Source organism: Homo sapiens, chromosome 8, assembly GCF_000001405.40.
Source record: "Homo sapiens chromosome 8, GRCh38.p14 Primary Assembly".
In the NCBI taxonomy this organism is placed as follows: Eukaryota; Metazoa; Chordata; class Mammalia; order Primates; family Hominidae; genus Homo; species Homo sapiens.
In genome coordinates, this window is record NC_000008.11 from 129,566,005 (window position 1) to 129,591,819 (window position 25,815).

A 25,815-nucleotide genomic window follows, 5' to 3' on the forward strand; every position below is an offset into this window, starting at 1 on the left:
ATATCCATGTATACAACAAACCTTATTGAGCATCTACTATGGTAGGGACTGCACTATAGTTTAGTTAATAAAAGTTAGAAATTAGGCCAGGCACGGTGGCTTACGCCTGTAATCCCAGCACTTTGGGAGGCCGAGGCAGGAGGATCACGAGGTCAGGAGATCGAGACCACCCTGGTTAACACGGTGAAACCCCATCTCTACTAAAAATACAAAAAAAAATTAGCTGGGTGTGGTGGCGGGCACCTGTAGTCCCAGCTACTCGGGAGGCTGAGGCAGGGGAACGGCGTGAACCCAGGAGGCGGAGCTTGCAGTGAGCCGAGATCGCGCCACTGCACTCCAGCCTGGGCGACAGAGCGAGACTCTGTCTCAAAAAAAAAAAAAAAAAAAAACAAACAAAAGTTAGAAATTAGCCCTCTGGGAGATAAAGACCTGATAAATAAGACAGGCAGAGTTCCTGTTCTTGAACAGGAGATTCAGGACAGGGTGATGAGGGTGAGCCAGGAGAGAGATCTTTCTCCAAGCCAAGTAAAGGCTACTGACTTCAGTGACCCTGGGACATCACACCTGAGGGTAATTGAATGGTGACAAGCTTCTTCTTATAATCAAAATAGTATTAGCCTGAGTATGAAAAATGGAAGAATTCTAGTGTATTTCATTTCCAACTTAACATCTATCAAGTAATATGTTGCTGGTTTCCAGCCTCATTGCTAAAAATATTCTTAAGGTGAACAAGACTGCTATCCTGGTTACCAGCTATAGTAGAATGAATGAAATTAAATTATTCTGTGATAGTTATCAAATAACAAAAAGAATTTTATTTCAGGAATTTGAGAACTAGATTTGAAATTTAATCGTTTGCTCCAGAATGCTAACATAAACAGTAATAATAGATAGATGGGTGGGTAGATAGATAGATAGATAGATAGATAGATAGATAGATAGATAGGTAGATAGATAGATAGATGATAGAGACTGCTAGATATAGTATAGAATATTCTATAGTCCTCATATGGTCTTTGCCACATGTTTGTTTGCTTTTTTCAAAATATTTAATGGAAGAATAAGAAATCTCAGTTGATATAAAAATTCTAGTGAGTCGTGACCTAGAGATGCACAACAATGTCATGCAAAACTTTTCATCTAAAGGTCATCAACTGATGAGTACATATGCAAAGTGTGGCATATCCATATATAGGAACACTACTCAGCAATTAAAAGCAACAAACTACCAATTCATACTACAACATGGATGAGCCTCAAAAATATTAAGCTAAGCCACATGCAGAAGACTACATATATTATTTACATGAAATCTCTAGAAAGACTATATATTTCATTTGTAAGAAACATCTATAAAAGGCAAATTTGTAGAGACAGAAAGGAAACCAAATTTGCTTATGACTGGGAGTAGGAGCAGGAATTAACGGCGAATGAGCACAAGGAACTTTTGGGGGTGATGGGAATGTTCTAAACCTGGACTACAGTATGATGAGTATGTAGAGTACGAACTCTACAAATTTACTAAAATAATTAAATTGAACAATTACAATGAGTAAATTTTGTTAGGAAATTATAGCTCAATAAAGCAATCAAAACAAAACACACACACACAGGCACAAACATATTTCATGTATTTTTAATCCAGGTTCATAGGAAAGTGCTTGACAATAATGCCATGTAGCTGCCTTATACTGATCATCTCCTTAAGAGCCAGCTACTTTTATCCCTGTTCCTGAAAGCCACCTTCAGAGAGAAATCATAGTAACCCAGGGACACGCAAAGAAGCCAGCTGAGTTAGGAATGGAACACAATTGGGCCTACCTCTAAATCCTATACACAATTTATCTCATCATACCCACTGATATAGAAAGAATCCATTGCCCCAGATTCACATGGTGTAGTCAAAGTAATAAACTAGATTCACCCTGCACCTGCTTATCTTTCTTGCTGTTGTCAGACCCCGCTACCCTGATCTCCTGGCCACCATCTTGGGATGATCCCGCAAATCAAGGTTGATCGTGTCATTCCGGTGCTCAAAAGGGTGCCCTGGTGCTGAAACCTTGGCTTGGGCCCTTCCCAACCTGGCTCCAGCCCCCAGCATCTAGGGCATCCTTGCTCACTGTTTCCCCATACCACTGTGCACTGCTTTTCTCTGAACTTCTCACCTGTCTTTGAAGTTGATGGCCATTTTCACATTGCTTTGTCTTTGTCCGTGAGGTTCCTCTCACCTGAAATGCTTGACTTTTCCTTGCCACTGCCACATATCAGCTAACTCCTGCTCTTATTTTAACATCATGAATATCTATCATTCTCAGTGAGCCTTCTACTGCTTCTCCGAGAGAAGTTAATTGTTCCAAGCAGGTTTTATACACTATGTTTATTTTCTTCATTCTCTTTAATAGCATTTTAAAACATGCCCCCAGTTTAAGTCTAGTGCGTTTGTCATATTTTCTTCATAACCATAGCATATACCATTAAAGGATTACTTGGATTCAGTTCTGATCTTAAGATTCCATCATTTATTAGCTCTGTGACCTTGGGAAAGTTTATGTAAACTCTTGACATCAGTTTTCCCAATTATGAAATGAGACCAATGAAAGCACATACCTCAAAGATACTTATAAGAATTAAACAATCTAATAATCATTAATGAAAAAGCATATTTTCCAGTCCATCAAAAGTGCTTAAAAAATGTTAAATAATAATACTAATTTTTACCAGTATAGCAAAGGCTCAATAAATGTGAATCGAATAAGGGAGAGAGAGAAGATACAGGAAAGAAGTAAAGAAGGGAAGGGGAAGAAGAAGCTCCTTGAAAAAATGGATAAGAGCTTATGATTTAGCATCAGGCAATATTGAATCTTTGCCTTGCTATTGTAGATTGGGTAATCTTGGACAAGTTATTTGAACTCCACATGTTTCAACATGAAGGTAAGTATACCACTGGATAACACATATAAAGCACTTAGCACAGTATCTAGCCTGCAGTAAGTCATGTTAAAGAAGAAAAAGAAACAAAGGTTTGTGAAAAAGAAAAATCCTCTTGCTTAATCTTTTTTATTCATCTTTGGCAAAGGTCACCTAAATAATTTCTTAACCATTCTGCCTTTATATGCTGTTTGGATACTGCCTAGAAATCCAGGATTCCAAGGTGGTTGAGAGAAGTGGGTTATGAACAATGATGATCCAGTCTCACTTTCACCTCTACCTGATATACAAAATTCCCTTCCAACATGGTCAACTCCAGTGAATCTTCACTATTTTGATCTTTAGCTACTTTCTCATGAGAATATTATTAAAAGCAGAGAGGAAATAACTAAATGGAAAAAGATTAGCCAAGAAGCAATGAAGAAATTCTCAACAAAATATTTAGCAAGCCACGTAAAAAGGATTAAACACCTTGGCCAAGTGAGATTTATCACAGGAATGCAACATTGTTTTGACAACAAAAATCAAAAAAAAATACATAATCATCTCAATAGACACAGAAAACACATTCAACAAAATCCAGTGTGCATTCATGATTTCAAAACTTGGAATAGAAGGAAAATTTCTCATCATGATAAAGAGCATCTACAAAAAATTTACAGCTAACACCACACTTAATGCTAAAAAGACTATATGCTTTCCCCCATAAGATTCAGAATAAAGCAAGGACGTCTGCTTTGGCACTTCTATTCAACATTGTACTACAGGATCTAGCCAGTGAAATCAGGCAAGCATATAAAATAATGGGCACCCAAGTAGCAAGGAAGAAGATGACAGGATTTTGTATGTAGAAAATCCAAAGGATCCATTAAAAATACTGGAAATAACAAGTTTAGCAAGGTCACATGATAGAAGATAAATTCACAAAAATTGACTGTATTTGTACAAGCAATGAACAATCTGAAAATGAAATTAAGAAAAAATTCAGTTCACAATGACATCAAAAGAATAAAATGGAAAGTATTTTAACAGATGATGAACAAGACTTGCACACTTAAAATCACAAAACATTCTTGAAAGAAAGAATATCGGCTGGGCACGGTGGCTCACGCCTGTAATCGCAGCACTTTGGGAGGCCGAGGCGGGAGGATCACGAAGTCAGGAGATCAAGACCATCCTGGCTAACACGGTGAAACCCCATCTCTACCAAAAATACAAAAAATTAGCCGGGCGTGGTGGCGGGCGCCTGTAGTCCCAGCTACTCAGGAGGCTGAGGCAGGAGAATGGCATGAACCCGGGAGGTGGAGCTTGCAGTGAGCTGAGATCGCGCCACTGCACTCCAGCCTGGGTGACAGAGCGAGACTCCGTCTCAAAACAAAACAAAACAAAACAAAAAACAAAAACAAAAAGAAAGAATATCTAAATATATGAAAATATGCCCCATGTCCATGTATTGAAGACTCAATAGTGTTGAGATGATGATTCTACCCAAATAGATGTACAGATTCAATGAAATCCCTATCAATTCCCAGCTGGGCTTTTGGCAGAAATTGACAAACTAATCTTAAAATTCACATGGAAATGCAAGGGAACCAGAATAGCCAATTTTCAAAAATGAAAACAAAATTAGAGGACTTACACTTCTCAATTTGCATATTTCCTATAAAGCTAAACTAATCAAGACAATGTGGTACTGGTATAAGCATAGACATATAGATCAATGGATAAACCCTTACAGACAATAGATTTTCAACAAGGGTGTCAAGAAAACTAAATGGGAAAGAAGTTTATTTTTCACCAAATAATTCTGGAACAGTTGAATATTCACATGCAAAAAGATTAATTAGGACACCTACTTCATACCACACACAAAAACATACTCAAAATTGACTACAGGCCTACATGTAGGTACTCAAAACTATAAAACTCTTAGAAGAAAACACAAGAGAAAAGTCTTCATGATTTGGGGTTAGGCATATTTCTTAGATACAACACAAAACAAGCAATAAAAGAAAAAAACTGATGAATTGGACTCAATCAAAATTAATATTTTTGTTGCTTCAAAAGACACCATCAAGAGAGAACTCACAGCTTGGAAGAACGTATTTCCAAATCGTTTATCTGATAAGGGATTTGTATCTAGAATATATTTTTAAAAGTGTTACAACTCAGTAGTAAATATCTTAGAACCCAGTTTTAAAATGAGTAAAGAATTTGGATAGGCATTTTTCCAAATGATCAATAAGCACACGAAAAGATGCTCAACATTAAGTCATTAGGAAATGCGAATCAAAGCAGCAAGGCATCACTTCACACTCACGAGGATGGTTACATCTAAAAGTCAGATAATAAGAGTTGACAAGGATGTCAAAAACTTGGAACCCTCATTCATTGCTGGTGAAAATGTAAAATGGTACAACCATGTTGGAAAATAGTTTGATAGTTTCTTAAAAGGTAGAGATTGACTTACCATGTAACCTAGCAATTCCACTTTTAAATTTCTGTCCAAAAGAAATGAAAGCATATGTCTACAAAAACAAAAAACTCATATACATAAATGTTCATAGCAGTATTATTCATAATAACCAAGAAGTAAAAAAAGCAATGTCTCTGCACACTTTCTATATGGATTTGTTAATCCAGCTAATTTGAAGTCGATTTCTCTTGTGTTTTACATTTGACTCTGAACACTTGAAATATTCAACATTTTATATCCTAAAGATTAGACTTTCCTTTTATTGACTTTGTTATTTTTGCAGACTTATGCTCTGCCTTTGCCATAGGCCTTAAGCAAAACTCATCTGCCAATGCTAGGAAATAGTAGTAGCAAACTGTCCTAGATCTGGCTTAAAAATTGTTTTATAGTTTTCAGGGAATTCAGACAATTGATTTCTTTGGCAAAATTATTTTCACTGAAAAGGTTTTCAGGGAATTGGTGTTTTTGTGAATTGCCTTTTGACAATGGATTATCAGCAAATTGACCAACAGCCAGTAAACAACTCCCTAATTCTCTCCTGTCCTCTCTGCCTCCTCACAGCTTCACTCTGTTCACATAAAGGGGCCTATTGGCAGTCACGTGTTTGCATTGTTTGAGCCTCTCAGAGTGTTCTGGGCTTTGAGATCTAAAGCTTGTCAATTCAGATATGTTGACCTGAGTGTGGGTCATAACAAAGGTAAAGGGTGAACACTTTTTTAATAGCCATGAAATTTTTTCTTCAAAATTATTCAGAATAAAATATAAAGGAGATGAAAGTAGAGAAACTCTTGCTGCTGTGGTGACCTGTAAGCCCACCCACTCCTAACGTCTCCATGTTCACATCTATTTCTCCAGTACCCTCTGTCTCGGAAGGTGACCTGCCATTCCACATATCACAGTTTAGAAATCACTGACTTTATCTAGTCACTTCTTCTCATGGGTCAGAAAACTGAGGCCCAGGCCTGGCACGGTTGCTCACGCCTGTAATCTCAGCACTTTGGGAGACTGAGGCAGGCAGATCACCTGAAGTCAGGAGCTCGAGACCAGCCTGGTCAACATGATGAGACCCCGTCTCTACTAAAAATACAAAAATTAGCCAGGTGTGTTGGCAGGCGCCTGTAATTCCAGCTACTGGGGAGGCTGGGGCAGGAGAATTGCTTGAACCTGGGAGGCAGAGGCTGCAGTGAGCCGAGATTGTGTCACTGCACTCCAGCCTGGGCAACAGAGCAAGACTCCATCTCAAAAAAAAAAAAAAGGAAAAAAAAAAACCAGAAAACTGAGGCCCAGAAAGTCCCAAAGACTTTTTAGTCAAATTCAATGGGGAGAATTAAAAAATGACAATAGAATATTAACTCCCTCCCCCATGAAAAAAATATAAATAATTATTAGTTGAATCCCACTACTTGGTACAGAAATCTTCTCTAGTGTCCAAATGGCTTTTCCCAAACTAACAATTGGAAACGACATGGATTTCTACTCTAAACAGGTATCAGGTCAAATTGCATTTCTATTTCTTCCTATCTATGTAAATTTAGACTGTCTCTTAACCTGAGCCTCAGTGTTCTCATCTGTAATGAATGGAGAAAGACATCTATGTTCTCAGATCATTGTGATGATAAAATGAGCTAATATATGTAAAACTTTTCAACATCTGCACCATCATAAGTACACAGAACTATTCATTCCTTTCCCTTCTCCTTGCTTCCTACCTTTCACTCCGCTGTACTCAGGACCTAAGGGTTTGAGTGTTGTGTCTGTCTTTCAAATGCAATCCTCTCCAAAAGAGCCACCAACACTCAAAATAATCTGTAGCCACAAGTCCAAAAAAAGGGTCACAATGATCAGTCAATTAAAAACCACAAAGTAAATAAATACTATAGGGAGCAGCAAATACAGCTGAAAATAACTAAAACCCATATAAATTTGCATCAGAAATATCACTTCTCTTCAACATCTCTCAAACATCTATCAACCTCTCTTTCCACAGTTTTTTTTTTTCCTAAAATTCTAGTGGAAATTTCCAATGCAGTTATAGAAGCTAGATGAACCAAAAACACGTCTAGATGTTCCAAGTCAGGCTGCTCACCCCTGTGCAGGCTTTCAGGGGAAATAATGCTAAAGGCCTGTCTGGTGACTACCTTGTCTAATCCCTAAATCAAGGTATTCCTGGACAGCTAAGTAATCTACCAGAGGAAGGTCAGCTTCCACAGAAGATTTGGAGTATGAAACTCTCAGGGTTTACCTGGAATTCATATGAAGGAAAGGGAAGGAGTAGGAAGAAAACTGTGAAAATTAAAACATTGGCAAGCAAAAAAGAAAAGAAAGAATTCTCTAAAAACTAAATGGCCCCGCATTCCTGAGGGGTAAGAAGTGAGATATCACATGTTGGCAAGAGAATGAGCTTGGAGGTGAAAACAGCCCAAGTTGTTTCACCATACTCATTCTCATAGATGACTTTTATTGACAGTCTTTTACATAACAGGCACTAAGCGAGGAGCTTTATGTACATTATTGCATTTGAAATTTAGAACCTATCTAGGACTTCTTCATTCTTATTTTTTGAAGTAAGGAGGGAATACTAAACTTTGACCCCCCCCAAAATGAAAATTTTATCCCAATATTAAAACTCAAAAGTTCTGCATTGGGATCACTCTGATTTCCCTTAAGTATCTCTGCAATGTCTCTTCTTAAAACTCACCACTGGTTCACTATCTCTACCTTTTCTAAAGCTGGTAGCAAAGTATCCCTTTTTTGACATGAAATTGTAGGTCTTTACCATGTACAACATGGATGAGCCTGGAGGACATTAAGTGAAATTAGCTAGACACAGGAAGACAAAGACTACATGATCTCACTCATCTTAAAAAGAAAAAAAATGATCACAGGGAAGTAGACGACAGTAGAATGGTGGTTACCGTGGGCTGGGTTGGTTGATGGGGGTGGTAGGGAGATATTGGTCAAAGAATACAAAAGTTCAGTTACATAGGAGGAATAAATTCAAGGGATCTACTGTACAACATGATGACCGTAGTTAACAATATATTGTATTCTTGAACAATGAATGCTAACAGAGTGGATATAAAGTATTCTTACCACAAAAATGATAACTATGTGAGGCAATGCATGTGTTAATTAGCTAGATTAACTCATTCCACAATGCACATATACTCTAAAACAATATGTTGTACATGGTTCACCATTTCTTTTAGACTATAAACCAAACTCCTTACCTGGCCAAAAAGCCCAGCATGATTTGATTCCCACCTCACGTTTTCTGCCACTCCCTCCTTTAATATGGTGTGCTCCAGACATACATAATTGTATGTTTTCTCTCCCTCTCCCATTTTCTCTTCTTCACTTTCTCATATATTCTCTCTCTCTGTCTCTGTCTCTCTCACGTGCACGTGCACGCTCCCTGTTTTTTCCCTCTCTCCCTCTCATTGGGCTCCCTTTCCCCTCACCCTTTAACTTACATAGCTGATCTTCGTAATTTCCGACCTCAGCTTCGGCATCACCTTCTTTGGGAAGTCTATCCAGCCACCCCAAGACTACATTAGATAACCCCCTAAGACTCTGCAGTTGCCTGATTATGGGCCAGTAGCACTGTAGCGTAATATTTTACTTGCTCTGTCTCTTATGTGACTCTAAGCCCAGTGAAGGAAGAGGCCACACCTGTTTTGCTCATCACTTGCAATATCTCAAGTGCACAAGAAAAGAAGGAAAACCACAGAAGACAGGGCAGTTGGAAAGAAGGGAATAAGGACAAGAAGAAAGGAAAGAAGGGAGGAAACTAATTATAAAGATGAGGCTTCTTTGCACCAGAAGCTTCCATTTCTGCTACCTTTATTAATATTTTTATACCTAAAATCCCACTGATTGTGGCAATAAGTAAGTAACCCACAAACCAGCAGGAAGAACAAGGAGAAGGGAGTTGCAATTCTGGTTCTGCCACCAGCTCACTGTGTGGCCTTCATTGCCAGACACTTGCTCCCCTTGCCTCTTAATTCCCGCCTCTGTAAAATGAGAATGTAAGACTAGTTCATTCCTAAGGTCATCTCTATCTCTTGTAAGGTCCAATTCTCATATGGGGCATCGGTTGGATTTATGACAAATAAAGCTTGAGGGAGACATGAGACACTGCCACCCTCTACCTTCTCATGGACTGTTGAACCAGTGCATCGTAGACTATCAGAGTTGGAGACCCTTATTCCAACCTTCTCAGGGTATTGCCTAGGAAATGGAGCCCTCAAAGAACATTACTGAAGTGACAGAGGCAGGAAATGAGTTATAACTTCTTAGCAATGTCACCAAAACAAGCTTATTAGGTCATGATAACCTATCACTCTGTCACCCAGGTTTTAATCCAATTCTGCCTCAAAGAAGCATTTGGGCCTGACTTTTGTGTCTTTGTTTTTCTCCCAGTCACACACATACACACACACACACACACACATTTTCTCCTTTACTCCATCACACCACTTTATTTATTGCATGGAAAAGTTGCTGATGAAATATTTCTCACCAAGTCATGCATACTTGGTTTAATGTCTCAGTCTTCCAAGAGCAATTGCATTTTAATAGGGGGCAATATTTTATTAGCATTAATGTTAATTATTAAGTAAAATAGCTTTCATTTTTATAGCACTGTAGAGTTTACAAGGCACATTTACATATAATATCAAATTTATACTCACAAAGGTGAAGAGAGGAGCATGTTTTTATTAAAAGAAAAAAGTTACCTTGAATTACATTTTCTTCCTGTGGTGTGACTCTGCCATTTATTTGGGGGAGGGGAGGTTTTTAAATTGAAATATTACATGTTAACAAGAAACAATTCTAAATTCTAGAAGATCTGCACAATCAGAGGAGATTATAAAGTATTTCTATATTTTAATAGAAAATGTTTATTATTAAAAATTAATGCTTATCATAATAAAATTTTAAAAGAAATTTTACCTCAAAATTCCTGATATGAATTTTTATATTGATTATAAAAACATATTATTTAATCAGAAAGTATTATACAAGGGTGGAGTTCCATTCATGATTGCATGGAAAAAATAAAGCTGGATGTTAGGACTTTGCCCAGCTTCTAATTTTTTTTCTTTATTTCTCCTCTGTTACACATGAAGATTCATTCGGAAGGAAAATATGGTGTTTCTTTTTTTGTGGGATCTTAGTTCTCTGCATTAAGTCATTGGAGGCTTTGAACAGAAGTAGTGATGCAACCAGAAGGGAATTTTGCCAATCTTAATCTAATGGCTATGGCAAAATTGCAATAAATGGAGAGGTTGGAAGTAAGAAATATCAGCCAGGAATCCAGTTGAGATATAATTAAGGTCCAATCCAGATAAGCAAGCAGTGAAGATGGACAAAAGGTGAAATGTGTGGGAGTAACATAAATATACCCCTGTAATCTCCGGTATTGATTGAGGTGTCATCTTCCTGCAATGATGCCACATCCCCAAATCCATTATTAACTTTGCCAAGCTGTTCAGGCAAAAGGAGAAGCCAATCTCAATACACAATAGGAACCTATGCATTTTATTGTACAAAATGGCCAGCATTCATTCAATAATTACTAGGAAGAATAAGAAACAGTACTGAGGGGGGAAAAAAGAAATTGGCAATAGGAATAAATACAAAGATGATCCATTTATTGAATTTAATAGACATGGACCTTTTAAAAATTGTGTTAAGGTGTTCAAGAGCACAGGTGACATTACAGAACATTCTTGCAGGATGCAGAACATTATCAGAGAACTGAAACCTATGAGAAAGAATCAAATGAAGATCCCAGAACTAAAAACAAATTATAACTAACATTGTAACAAATAATACAATAGATTCAATACAGCTCATAAAAGGATTAGTGACCCAATGATATATCAGTAGAAAATATCCACATTGAAGCATAGAGGAGGAGAAGTATTGAAATCCAGAAATGAATTGAGAAAAAAAATCCACCATGGAGAATAACTAGAGGATAGATGTTGTAGATATACTACTATTAAACTAAGTATTCTTTTAGGCAATAATCCCTTTTAGAGATAACAAGGATACTGTATAATGATAAAAAAATTAATCTACCAAGAAAATATGATCATCGTAAATGTGCCTGCATTTTCTAATATATATAAACTATATATGATATAAAATATATATATTATATATATCATACCAAAGAAACTATGTATCATAGTTTCAGAATATATAAATTGAAAATTGATATAACTATTAAAAGAAATGGACAAAATTGCAACCGTACTTGAAAATTTCAATACACCTCTGTCTGAAACTGATGGAAAAATAAGTAAAGTTATATTAAAGACCAGGAGAATACACTGATTTAATTATAATTAATTTGTTAGTGAACATTAATTAGCTGATTCTAAAATTTATAGAACATAAAAAGGGCTGAGAAGAACCAAAGCAATTAAAAAGAATACTTAGAAGACTTACATTGTCAGAGATCAAGATTGAGTATAGAGTTACAGTTAATTGAGTCAGTGTACAAATAAACAAACCAATAAAATTAAAAGTAGTATACAGAAACAGACATATATGTGGTTACTCAATGCATAACAAAGGCAAGACTAGTTCAATAGAGAATGAATGGTCTTTTTAGTAAATGGTGCCATGAAAATCTTGACTCCTTATTTTATAATACACACAAAATTCCCAATGTACCATAAATCTATATGAAAATAGCAAAACACAGTAGAGCTTCTACAAGAAAGCCTAGAAAAATATCTTCATATTTTGAGTAGACAAAAATTTCTGAAACAGAACATACCTGCAAAAAACTAACCATATAGAAAAAGAATGACAAATTAAAATTTAAAATACTTGCATCAAAAGAAACGATGAAGAGCATGAAGGTGAGCCACTGTGTGCAAGATGTTTGCAATTCATGTATCTGATGACTGTTCAAACTTCAGATTACATAAATAACTACCTCAGCAAAAAGAAAAGAAGACAAGCAATAATAGACAGAGAGCCAAATCATGACTGAACTCCAATTCACAATTGCTACAAAGAGAATAAAATATCTAGGACTACAATTTATAAGGGATGTGAAGGACCTCTTCAAGGAGAACTAGAAACCGCTGCTCAAGGAGATAAGAGAGGACATAAACAAATGGAAAAACATTCCATGCTCATGGATAGGAAGAATCAATATTGTGAAAATGGCCATACTTCCCAAAGTAATTTATAGATTCAATGCTATCCCCATCAAGCTACCATTGACTTTCTTCACAGAATTAGAAAAAACTACTTTAAATTTCATACGGAACCAAAAAAACAGCCCATATAGCCAAGACAATCCTAAGCAAAAAGAACAAAGCTGGAGGCATCATGCTACCTGACTTCAAACTATACTACGAGGCTACAGTAACCAAAACAGCATGGTACTGCTACCAAAACAGATATATCGACCAATGGAACAGAACAGAAGCCTCAGAAATTATGCCAGACATCTACAACCATCTGATCTTTGACCAACCTGACAAAAACAAGCAACGGGGAAAGGGTTCCCTATTAATAAATGGTGTTAGAAAAACTGGCTAGCCATATGCAAAAAACTAAAACTGGACCCCTTCCTTACACCTTATACAAAAATTAACTCTAGATGGATTAAAGACTTAAACACAAGATCTAAAACCATAAAAACCCTAGAAGAAAACCTAGGTGATACCAGTCAGGACATAGGCATGGGCAAAGACTTCATAACTAAAACACCAAAAGCAACGGCAACAAAAGCCAAAATTGACAAATGGGATCTAATTAAACTAAAGACCTTCTGCACAGCAAAAGAAACTATCATCAGAGTGAACAGGCAACCTACAGAATGGGAGAAAATTTTTGCAATCTATCAATCTGACAGAAGGCTAATATCCAGAATCTATAAGGAACTTAAACAAATTTACGAGAAAAAAAAAAAAAACAACCCCATCAAAAAGTGGGTGAAGGATGTGAACAGACACTTCTCAAAAGAAGACATTTATGTGGCCAACAAACATATGAAAACAAACTCATCATCACTGGTCATTACAGAAATGCAAATCAAAACCACAATGAGATACCATCTCACACCAGTTAGAATGGTGATCATTAAAAAGTCAGGAAACGACAGATGCTGGAGAGGATGTGGAGAAATAGGAAAGTTTTACACTGTTGGTGGGAGTGTAAATTAGTTCAATCATTGTAGAAGACAGTGTGGAGGTTCCTCAAGGATCTAGAACCATAAATACTATTTGACCCAGCAATCCCATTACTGGATATATACCTAAAGGATTATAAATCATTCTACCATAAAGACACATGTACATGTATGTTGACTACAGCACTATTCACAATATCAAAGACTTGGAACCAACCCAAATGCCCATCAATGACAGACTGGATAAAGAAAATGTGGCACATATATACCATGGAATACTATGCAGCCATAAAAAAGGATGAATTCATGTCCTTTGCAGGGACATGGATGAAGCTGGAAACCATCATTCTCAGCAAACTAACATAGGAACAGAAAACCAAACACCACATGTTCTCACTTATAAGTGGGAGTTAAACAATGAGAACACATGGACACAGGGAGGGGAACATCATACACTGGGGGGCCTGTTGTGGGGTGGGGGACTAGGGGAGGGATAGCATTAGGAGAAATACCTACTGTAGATGACAGGCTGATGGGTGCAGCAAACCACCATGGCACGTGTATACCTATGTAACAAACCTGCACATTCTGCACTTGTACTCCAGAACTTAAAGTATAATTTAAAAAAAGAAGATAAGCAATAGAAAAAAATGAGTACAATATTACACAAGTACTCCACAAGAATAGATATCCAATGGGTGGGCAACAGAAAAAAAGTCTTCAAACTCATTAGTGAGCAAGATAATGTAAATTAAAACTACAGTGTGATACCTCTACATGCCCACTAGACCATCTAAATTTGAAACACCACCAGGGCTACCTAGCATTAACGAGGATGTGGAACCATCAGAACATTCCTGCCCTGCTAGCAGGACTGTATATTGATACAACTTTAGAAAACCTATTGGCAGTGTCTCCCTAAATGGAACACACCTGTACCCTCTGATACAGGATTTCCACTCTTAGATATATACCAAACTGTATACCAAACAATATACCAAATAGGAATGAGTATATAATTGTCCTAAGGGCATAAAGAAGAATGTCCTTAATTATCATTGTGAAAAATTGGAAACAAATATCTTCAATAGTAGACTAAGTAAACAAGATGTTGCATATTCAGGTAATGAAATAATTTACAGTATGGAGGGTGGACAAATCATTGCTACACACAACCACAAGGCTAATATTACTAACATAATGTTGAGCAAAAGAAGCCAGACACAAAATAGTACATGTTCTATGATTCCACTTATATAAAGTTCAAGAACAAGCAAAACCTAGAAGTCAAGGTGGTGTTTCCATCCTTTGGGAGATGTAGTGACGGGAGAGAAGCATGGGGGATCATCTGGGGCTTTGGTAACTGCTGTTTCAGGATCAAGGTGGTAGATACTGGGGTGTTTCTTTTTGAAAATTCGTCAGGCAGTACTTTCATGATTTGTGTACTTTTGTGACTTTGTTTCATAAACAATTTATTCAATAACAAGTTTACTTATAAACAAATTTGTGTAGCATTCCAACATCTTGCCAAATCTACTCTTTAGTCTCTGGGACTATTTAATATTTAACCCACTTTTTAGTATTCTTATTCAAGACACTTCCCCTAAGTAAACCCCTGATATGGTTTTATTGGACTATTAAAGAGGAGAAAGGAGATTTTTTTAACTTTTTTAAAAGAATGGTGCTGTATCCACCCAGTATTAAATATCTTGTATTTAATATTATATATTTATAGTAACTATAATAGTAATACTAATATTAAACTTACTGAAATATAAATCAAATTCAATATCTCAAATATCACGTATGTTTAAAAGATTACAATGTGGGGAGTAACATTCTTTATTAAAAAGCTAAGATTAAATAAAAGGACAGCAACTAATAATAAAAATCTTAGGAAATTAAGATCAATACATGGAAAATTTTGAGATTACAGAACTGCTTTTCCATGCTGGGGATCTGCAGATTCACCTCTCCTGATTAAACTCAAGAACTAGCTGAAAATTTAAATATAAAAAGAAGACAGTAAAGTCAGGAAATCATCTCTTCTGCTTTTTAACTGGTGAATCCTCGCTTACAAATTGCTCAGTCCTGAACAGGTTCTGCTTCTGCACCTAAGCCAACTAGCAAGCATACGAAAGCATCAGCTATTGTCAGCACCTAAGTCAACACATGAGCACCGTTTTCCTTCCATCTGAAATCCTGCCACAGCCTCTACCCCAATGGGCAGCCCTAAATACAGCTGTCTGATGTCCCAGGCAGATGTGGAACATGGAAACTCAGTGGGGACATGATTCCAAATACATGGGCTGCCTTCAAATCCTGGCCCACAAGCCTACATCCTTACAACAGAACCCTCTCTGGAAATGAGACAATTATTTCTTTCTAGTGGGGGTTGCAGAGAGTAGAGGAAGAGAGTTGGAAAGGAGAAGGAGAGCTAGTGGATGGGAAACCAACAAAATGTGGTTCATTTTCAGGAAGCTGCGAGGCTGGATCTTTCAGAACAGCTCATATTTTTTCGAGATGCATTTTTTTTGAGGTCCCCCACTCCGGATACCCCAGTGCCCTCCTTTCAGCCTTGGCCCTTGCATCACCACCAGCCAGGGGAAGGAGCCGTGGCATGGCAGTGGTCACAGTTCTCTTGGATAAGCTTTACCGTAATCTTCATAAACCTCAATGCTCAAGGTGCAGAGGGAGATTGGAGGAAACTTGTTTTTCCGTTGGTTTCTCTCTGACTGCTGCGGCTAATCATTCCTAGAACAGGAAGCTGGAGAAATGTAGGTAGGAGACACTCTTCTGACAAGTCAGGTTGCCTCACCCTTCCAGGGCACAACTGATTAGGAAAAGCTTCAGGGTTACATAACCTCCTTCCTTTACGGTGGTTTTCCATCAAAAGGTGAATGGACTCAGCCCTGAGAACTGCCCACCCCTAAGAAGCGGGGAAGGGATGTCTTGGTTGTATTTTAGTATTGCTGCCTCCTTCATCACAATGCCCCAGTGCACAAGTAAGGGGAGGAAAATAGGATGCATTAATTTATTCCATGAACCTTTATTGAGTGTCCATTCTTCTATGTATTTGAAATACATCAGTAAAGGAAATGAACTCTACCCTGGTACACTCATATCCTAGTGGAGGGACACAGAGTAAACCATAATACATAAGTAATTTACATTGTGGGTTAGAAGTTGATGAATGAAATCAAGAAAAGTAGAGCAGGGACAGAGGGATAGGTGGTTGGGAGGGCAAAGGCATGGATTGCAATTTTTAACGGAGCACAAGGTAAGACTCCTTGAAAAGATGACATTTGAGCAAAGACTTGAAAGAGATGAAGGTGTGAGCTACATGACTATATGAAGAAATAGCAAAGGCCTAAGGCAGGAGTGTTTCCAGAGTTGTTGTCAGGGTGGGAGGAGCACAGTGAGCAAGGAAGAAAAAAGTAAAAGATGATGTATGTGATTGGCTGGGGGGCAGGTGTCAGATCAGGTGGCACTTTGCAAGTGATTGTTAAGGACTCTGTGCTTTTAGAGTAAATAAAATGGCAGCTATTATCGTTCTGAGAAGAGTAACAGAACCAGCACGTTCACCCTGGTGCTCCTTCTGGGGTGAGAGCAAACACAGAAAGGGTCATCCGATATCATTAACAGCTGTCTGTACTGGAGGCCTCTTTAGGCTTCTGGGTCAAGTCAAATAACCTACAGACCCACCTATCCTCATGGCCGGGGTGGGGGTGGGCCAGAAGAGTGACAGCCTATGTGTTTAACAACATGATTTAAATCATTCAAGTGACCCACTGAGAGCTGTGAAAGCAATTTTGAATTTCTTTTCCTGCAGAAGGAATGGCTTTACCTTAAGTCACTACCTTCCTCAATCTTCTTTGTGACCAAAAAGACAGATTCCAAACACTGCCAGCTGAGTACAATCTACACCCTCCAAATATAGCAGAGCTAACTGCCTACACCGGACCCTGGTGCCATTAGCTCATGCTCTAGCTCCCTGCACTGGCCACCCATACTGCTTTATGAAATGCAATCTCTTTTTAAAGATAATGACACAGTAAGTGTGTTATGACTTCAGTGATACAGTAAGTTAGGCAAATTCTTTGAAAGCTATCAGCTCATTTTGAGCAGGGCCACCAGCCTCTGGTAGAGAGAAGTTTGTTGATCTGAAGTCATAAAACCAAGGGGTAAAGGACATGCTGAACCAGACGATAAACACCGTCATGGCGGGTGTCCCTCCCACTGCCAAATTCCAACAAATCATAGCAAGAAGATGAGGTTACATAGCAGAAATGCATGGAAATCAGCCTGATCAGAATCATTGACCTTTGAATTTTAGAGCAAAACAGTCATTTAGAGATTGGCCAGTCTTCATGTCAACCTGTTCAACCTTTCAACACAGATTCAAATCCAATTGGCAGATGTGTTTTGTTTAAACTGCACAGCATTAAAAAAATTTATGTAGCTGCCAATATTTATAATAAATCAGGATATCTCGCATGCACAGAATTGTATTTCTTGCTTCTCTTTTAAAATATGAATATCTATCAACACCACATCTGCATTCCAGTATGGCTGGAGCTAAATAGTAGTTGTCCCTATGGACTGGGCAGGTGGTCACCATATCACCCCAACTCCTGCCACTCACTATTACTTATTTCTGGCCCATTTCACTTATTATAGCTCTAACGTTGTCAAGCCCTCACTTGACCTAATATCCTCTTATACAAAAAGTAGAAAACTGAGGCCTAAATGAAGTGAAATAATGGAATCTTGAGTCAAAGATCAGTCACCCCCAGAAATGTGTGAACCTAAAAATAAAAACCTCACAGGAATTAAATTTGCATAGGCCAGTCCCTCCTCCTAACATAACCTGGTGGCCAAGCCTCCATAATACTCTGGGGCCAGGCTCTTGGTTATGTTTTAGAATTATTTTTAATTTAACTTTTGTTCTTGTTCACTCAGTGTCCCACAGTAAGGTGCACTGGGGGCTAAAGGCTTGAAAAAGCAAACAGAGTTAGGGGCCCTAAGTTTCTTCTCAAGAGTTCAGATGGAAATCATAAAACCACCACACCAGGTTCCAGATGAGTTCCACTGGAAGCTGGCAAAAACCTCCCGCCCAGCCTGGTTAATGGCACTTAAGCACTGGATTGTTTGACTGCCACTCTCCCTTACTGGAATTGTTAGAATAATCTCTCTCTCTCTCTCTCCCTCCCTGCCTCCCGTTTTTTTTTTTTCTTTTTTTTCTTTGAGACAGAATTTCACTGTCTGGAGTGCAGCAGCACGATCTCGGCTCACTGCAACCTCCGCCTCCCAGGTTCAAGCGATTCTCCTGCTTCAGCCTCCCAAGTAGCTGGGATTACAGGTGCCCACCACCACGCCCAGCCAGAACAACCACTCTTTAGGACCTGGACATACCTGCCACTCTCTGTGCCCTTTCCACTTGGTAAATGCCACCATCTCCCTCTCAGACATGCAAAGATCCAGGCTATTCTGTTATTTGCCCTTCCTCACCCTCCGCAGCAAAGCTCTTGCTCTTATTGCATCGTTTTCTGCCTTTCCCAGGGGAATTTCCATCATTAGGCTTTGCTATAACAGGGGAAGAGTTCCATGAATGAACAAGAAGGTAAGGAAATGATTTAGAAGATCAGAATGCTTTCCTACTCTTTTATTCATCCATTCATTGTTTCAGTATTGAGCGCCTGCTGGGTTGGGCGTTTAGAAGATCTAAATGTAACTAACATACCTGCCCTGCTCTCAGGGAGCTCACAAAGTCAAATCCTGATTATACAGTGTAACATAAGTGATGATTGAGGGGACTTTCTTGGGCCTCAGATTCCTCATTTGTAACAGAAGAACCCCACTTACTTCCACATAGTCTGGCTGTGAAGAACAAATGAGAAAAATGGATGTTAACATTCTTTATAAATGACAAAGCACAATGTTAGCACCTGATCGCGATCTCATATTAGGTGTGCTCAAGGATTTGAACCATTGTGGAGAGGTCCTTTAAGTAAATAAATGTGGAAGTAGGGAAATCTCCTTACAGCAAAAAGCTAACAAACGAACGTGGAAAGGATGATGGAAATAGAAAACAACAATTTGGCAAACTTCAAAATAGTAATCAATTCAGGATAAGAATCATCAATGATGATAAAACTAGTAGCTTAAAGTATGAGGAGTAACAGAAATTTCACATAATAAAGTACCTCTTAAGATACTTATTAATTACAAAGGGAAAGGTTGGAAAACGCCTTTACGGCAGCATTTACTGTAACTGGCAGACACCATCTTCACCAAATAAAGTCAACATCACTAATAATGAGGGAAATTGACATCATGTGCAGCCTGATAATAATGAATGAAAAAGGACATAACATCACTTCTATGATATTCCAGCTGAAAATGTATGACCTGAATCTAACCATGAGGAGATACTGGAGAATCTCAGATTAAGAAACATTCTGCAAAAATCTCACCAGTACTTTTCTAAAATGTCATTGTCATAAAAGACAGAAAACTGTTCCAGATTTAAAAAGATGAGACACTAATAAAGTCAATGTGTGATCCAGTGTTTTCTTTTACCATATAGCATAAAACTGGAACAATTGGTGAAATTCAACTGAGGTCTGTAGATTAGGTAATAGTTTTGTATTAATGTTAATTTCCCAGTTTTGATGATTAACAATAGTGCTTATGTAACAAAATGCATTTTCAGAAAGTACACATCGAAGTCTTTAGGGATAAAGAACATTATGTCTATACATTTCAAATAATTCAGGAAAAAATATGGCATTATATGAAAATATATGGTATCATATAAAAATATATGGCATATATAATAGATGGTACATATATATTAAATTAAGTAAAGTTGGTAAATTATTAACACGAGGGAAACTCCTTGTACTATTCTGCCAATGTTTTAAAAAGTCTGAAATTTTGTCAAAATAAAAAGTTAAAAGCAGTAGCAAGAAAGAGGTACAATGTGGATAACTTTAATCAGCCCAGAACCAACACAAAGCATAGCGAAGAGGTTTGGCTGCACTTTCCAGAAACTCCAGATGCCAAACATGTTTCACCCATTTTTTTATCCCTGTCTTCCAGGCTTCTGATATTCATGACAAGATGGGAGATGATACTAAATGGGCCCATTTCTTCAGTGATGGTTTCCCATAACTAAGCAGTGTCGTTAGAACCACCTATATTATTGCCGAGCCAGCTGGAGTCTTAAAAGTTTATTTCCTAGAACACATAGTCCACATAATCTCTTCCATTACTGCTGGAAGGCAGCAGGGTACCTCTCCTGTAGTGCCTCATGCCACCACAAATAGATCATGCAGAAATCAGGTGGCAATGGGGTCTCTCCTGCTATTTGCACCATATGATGGCTGTTTGTTGTGCTGGACTCTTCATTTGCCACTTGAGCCACGGTGTTCAGCTCCTATCCGCCCTGGAAAAAAACACTGGCAAAGTCAGCTGGGCCAGGATGCTTTGCATTTTGAGGAATCATGAAATGGCCAGTCCCAGCTAATGGATAAAAGGTAACTCACCATCCCCACAGTGACCCAAGGACTATACTGGACAATAGAGACAAAAATGCATCCCCTCCTCCCAACTGGTGAAGACAATCTAGAGACAGTGCAAGAGTGCTCCCTTCTGCCCAGAGCTCAAATTGCCCTAACTTCACACAGTTTCACCTCAAGAGAGTTTGAGATGAACCCTTCTGCTTCTGGAGCACACATCTTAAATGCTATCCCATAGTCGCCCCTTAAGCCTGCACTTAAGATTTCACCTTTATGATCTCATTTCATCTCTTCAACAACCTCAATAGCTAAGTAGAGCAGATATCATCACACCCTCTAACAGGTGATTTGAAACAGGTGCCTCAATAGTAAATTACTTACCCAACGTCAGGAAGACTCCCCACAGAAAGCCTCATCTCCGTATTTAAAATTCAGTGGCTGCAAAGAATGGCTTTAAATTCTCCTGCACCCCGAAAAGTATAGGCAAGATTCTGCAATTCTGGGTCATCCTCAGTGATGAAGGGGCTGGGGAGGAATGGAAAACTGGCAGAGGGACTATCTACAGTCATTATAAGTCAATACAGGCTTTATTAGCTTTCCTGTTGAGATCTGACCTACCTAGCGCTATCTTCTTGGTTTCTCATGAATCTACTGTTCTTCACTACCTGCCCTCAGTAGGAGCTGCCAGAATGGAAATGACTATCAAATCTGAAGAGAAAACAGACGAGACTTGTGCCACAGAGAGCATCGATCCAGGACTACGGGGTTCAAGGCTCTCAGCTCACTCAGACCATGGGGGTAGGGAAGAGGAGGGGAGGACAGGTGCTTCTTCAGGTACAAGTGAATTTCCTATCCCTGGAGTTTACAAGCAGAAGCAAGCATAGTAATCCCACCTCTCAGTCTGCACACCTGAGAAACACACACATTTGTTTGCACAAGGAGCCACATACAAGATTCTTTTTACAGTAGGAGAAAAAAAGAGATGACAACAATTTATCAGTAGAGGAATGGTGAAATAAACCATGATATATCTCCATTAATCAATACTAATAATCAGTTAAAAGAAAGAGGTATATTTGTACATAATTTCAAGAAAAAGTCCAAGTGATATAATAATGAGAGATGAAATTATTTGATTTATGTTAAAACATATACATACCAAGGTACCCAAACATGTATATAAAGATGTAGATAAAGCTTTAGAAAGCTGTGCACCAAAATGTTAACATGGGTTTCCTCTGAGAAAACTTCAGGGGTTTGGAGAAAACCTCCTAAAGGAGACTTTGGCCTTACCTGTGATATTTTACGATATCACCTTATAAGAAGGTATTTACATATTAGAAATGCAACTAAACATTAATTTTTTTCTTAAAATTCAGGCCCTTTCTACTGGACACTTCAAATTTCAGCTGGGGCATGGAGACAGTTTCTGTTTTTCCCGGACCAGCCACTGTTAAAAGGTACCAAAATAGAGCCCTTTGCAATTCAAACAGTTGATAGAATTTTAGGAAGATAGACCTAAATAGTCAGAGCATTGCACCAGAAAATGACAATGAAGTCCCTTCTAATCCAAAGATTTAATAGTCCTATATGTGTATCAATGCACCATGCATTGATTCAAGGGCTGATGGAAACTAATATAGAAGCACATTCATAAATGTGTGGTTCTTCCCAAAGACAGACTTCTCCATTAGTGGGAAAGAGAATTGTTTTTATGGCTAACCAGGCAAGCAAACTTGGTGAGTTTTAGCTGCTTTATCTATCTTCTGGGTACATGTAAGATACATTCAGTACAGCAATCCAGCTGTCTGAATTACCTGTGCCTAGCTGATGATGGCTAAAATCGATGTTCCTTTTCCAGAATGTCAAGAGATTATGGTTTTGTTGGGGGTGAATTGCTGAGAGAAACAGAAAAACCTGAAAGATCAAACTGGAATCCTCCAGGAGCTGGACTCCACGGTAGAAGGAGAGCGGGTGCCTTCACTTCCACCCCCTGAAGTCTAGAGACCATTTTGTATCAAATTGTACTTAGCAGTCATGGAAGGAAGCTTGCACAAACTTAATGTTCTTCAATGGCTGTGCTCACTTAAAGTTAATTTTATTGTGGCAGTTGTTGTCTTGAAAGTTTAGAATAAAGAGACTCCAGGAGGTCTTTTCATAACAGATAATGATGCTGGAATGCAGAAATGTTTTGCGGAATAGCTTGGAGGGATAAATTAATTAATTATTTGGGCTAAAAATGAGCTGGAAAGAAATGGAAAAAATACTACACTTGGAACTAGAAGACCAAGGTTCAACACTCGGCTGCCATACTCACTAGTTGTATGACCTTGAGCAATACAGCGAACCTCTCAGAGCCACATTGTCATCTGTAAAATGGGTATAATGCTAACATGCAACTGGTCACAAGGTTGTCATACAGTACTAATAAAATAGTTATCATTAGTTTCAGTTGACTGATGAGGAAACTGAGACTCAAAGGGTTAAATGAATTTCCCAAGGACACATAGCTAGTGAGTGGCAGAGCCCAGTTTAAAACCCAGGTACATGTGGCTGCAATGTCTCAATTCTTCCATGCCACCATTCTCTGCAAATATGTTGGGTTTAATATTGGTTATTTGAACTCCATTCATACCTAGGTCCCATCCTGCAGCACCTGGCAAAGAAATTAGTAAATATTAGGTATTCATTATGTATTTGTTGAATAAACCAACCCATAAATCAATCAGTGAGTAAGCTAACAATTTTTTGATTCATTTACAAATACTATTAAATAGTTATGTGCATAACACATGGGTGATGATTGTTTCATGTTCATAATGTCATAAATATATTTCTCCAAATTTGATATGTGTGTTTCAAATGTTAATGTTTGTATATATGTTTGCATCTGTAATGTATGAGTGTGTGTGTGTCCAAAAGTGAAGGAACATGAGAATAAGATAAAAACAAAAGCAACTGTATTCTGTGAACAGCCTCCTTGGTATTAGATAGATGCCAGCACCTGTCTTTGGAAACTCTGGAAGCTCTCTGGGCAGTATCTCCTTCCACACCTCAGCTGACAGCCTTTACTTTGAATTGCATAGAGAATTGTCTTTGAGGAGCAATTCTAGCTCCTTTCTCCATCAGCATTTGGTACATAGAAAAGGTCAGACTTGCAATTGGATCTATTTTCTGCATTCCCAAGGTTCTGGCTCAAAGTGAAACATCAGGGAGCTTTGTGATCAAATAACCAATGTGATGAGACAGCCTTTCATTACACAATAAAGGCCACCGGCGCCTGCTTCCACCTTGCCATGTGGGACAAAGGTGGTCTATGGAATGCTGAACTTCCAAGTCTGGCTCAAAAATGCAGTTCAGGCCTCCAAGACAACACCCAGCTGCCTTTTCCATTTGCAGTAATGTTTTCAAAACCTCGATTCTCCTTTTCCTCTTGGCTATAGATTTCAGACTGGTCTGGAATCTTTGTGACTTCATAGGCTCATAGATAACTAGGAGTCACAACTCTCATTCTTATTCCACCTCTTAACAACTAAGTTATTTGGGGAAGTTCCTTGAGCCCTCTGAGCCTCAAGTTTCTCCTCTGTGAAATGGGAGTAACGATACTTAGAGGTTCAAATGAGTGGCACATATTGAAGTGTGGAATGCTTATCAACTGCAAGGTTTCATTAAGCCAAAGTAGGAAAATGCTAGCATATGTGAAAGATAAAAATATAAATTTTGACTATGTAAAGGTTTCCCAGTTGAATTTGAATTTCAAATAAACAAATAATTTTATAGCAGAGATATGTCCCATGCAATACTTAGGATAGACATACACTAAAAATATATTTGTCATTTATCTGAAATTCGAATTTAACCGGGTGTCCTACTTTTATTTTTTTCAGAATATGGCAGTTCTACTCCCAGCCTTAGCCCCTCAGCCACAGTCACCTGGCTGAACTCAGAGCTTGGCAGGTATAGAATGTGGGCCAGGTTGGGGGGTGTTGGATTTCTGGAGCTACAAGAGATTTGCTCCAGGTACCTGAGGAAAAGGTGTCCAGAAAGGTGTGATGAGGAGAAGCACAGGAGGGAGGGAGAGAAAGAACAGTACTTTGTTACCAGAGCCAGAATCCCATTGAGAGGCTGCCACTGCCACCTCAAGACTCCATAAAGCTCCAGTAATAATTACCACCCTCACAGCATCCATCACAATGATCAAATGAGATAAGGCACATCCAGTGCTAAGACCTGGCACTTAGCAAACTCTCCAAAACAGCCTTTATTATTATTTTTTGAGGGACTGAGAAGTAGCATGTATTGGACATATTGATATCCCCAGCCCCAAAGTGAGTATTGTATAGATATCATCTCAGGCAAACATCATAACAATTTTCCAGGGTAGTTCCTGTTATTGATTGCAGTTTACTAAGGTACAGAGAAGTTGACACCTCCACAAGTCCTCTTGGCACTTGATAGTAAGTGGTGGAGACCACATTTGAATCCAGGCCTGCTTGTGGTTAAAGTCTACCTTTCTGCACTGCACTAAGCTGCTTGGAAGAATCCTTTCGGGGTCCTCATGTTTTGGTAACCCATTTGCTGCTGACACCACTAGAAGACTTGAAGCCATTTCCGAATGACTTCAAGCTGCTCCTTTCTGAAATAGCGTACTGTTACCCATTTTAGAGAAGGCACATGGGGACAGGAAGTGACTGTCCCAGGTTGCCTCTTAAGAGATTAAGTGC

General features: G+C 38.4%; 1 long non-coding RNA gene across 4 annotated transcripts in view, besides 5 other annotated features; it reads right to left on the reverse strand.

The window, feature by feature from the left end:
* The window catches only part of CCDC26 (CCDC26 long non-coding RNA), a 328,546-nt gene that overhangs the window by 214,311 nt on the left and 88,420 nt on the right, over positions 1-25,815 (reverse strand). For 3 of the 4 annotated variants that reach the window (NR_130918.1, NR_130919.1, NR_130920.1), the window contains exon 1: positions 8,878-9,014. The exons of the other annotated variant lie outside the window; for it this stretch is intronic. This is a non-coding gene — a long non-coding RNA (CCDC26 long non-coding RNA). Of the gene's footprint in view, positions 1-8,877; positions 9,015-25,815 lie in introns of those variants that run through there. 4 annotated transcript variants of the gene reach the window in all.
* Positions 15,776-16,457: a transcriptional cis regulatory region, noted in NCBI's record as "e5 or genic|chr8:130594265-130594805-genic|chr8:130593705-130594205 region (GRCh37/hg19 assembly coordinates) targeted for CRISPR interference". NCBI's record gives its function as "positively regulates CCDC26 and MYC gene expression in K562 erythroleukemia cells {active_cell/tissue: K562}" and the evidence as "EXISTENCE:mutant phenotype evidence [ECO:0000015][PMID:31784727]".
* Positions 15,776-17,793: a biological region, named in NCBI's record as "CRISPRi-validated CCDC26 and MYC e5 enhancer". NCBI's record gives its function as "regulatory_interactions: CCDC26 | MYC".
* Positions 15,850-17,793: an enhancer, noted in NCBI's record as "fragment used in the MYC e5 reporter construct". NCBI's record gives its function as "activates a MYC promoter by reporter assays in K562 erythroleukemia cells {active_cell/tissue: K562}" and the evidence as "EXISTENCE:reporter gene assay evidence [ECO:0000049][PMID:27708057]".
* Positions 17,059-17,353: a silencer, noted in NCBI's record as "tiled region #4665; HepG2 Repressive non-DNase unmatched - State 24:Quies, and K562 Repressive DNase matched - State 5:Enh". NCBI's record gives its function as "represses a minimal TATA promoter and a strong SV40 promoter by Sharpr-MPRA in HepG2 and K562 cells {active_cell/tissue: HepG2 | K562}" and the evidence as "EXISTENCE:reporter gene assay evidence [ECO:0000049][PMID:27701403]".
* Positions 20,720-21,919: an enhancer, noted in NCBI's record as "BRD4-independent group 4 enhancer chr8:130598970-130600169 (GRCh37/hg19 assembly coordinates)". NCBI's record gives its function as "activates an origin of replication core promoter dependent on BRD2, P300/CBP, MED14 and CDK7 cofactors, and independent of BRD4, by STARR-seq in HCT116 cells {active_cell/tissue: HCT116}" and the evidence as "EXISTENCE:reporter gene assay evidence [ECO:0000049][PMID:35650434]".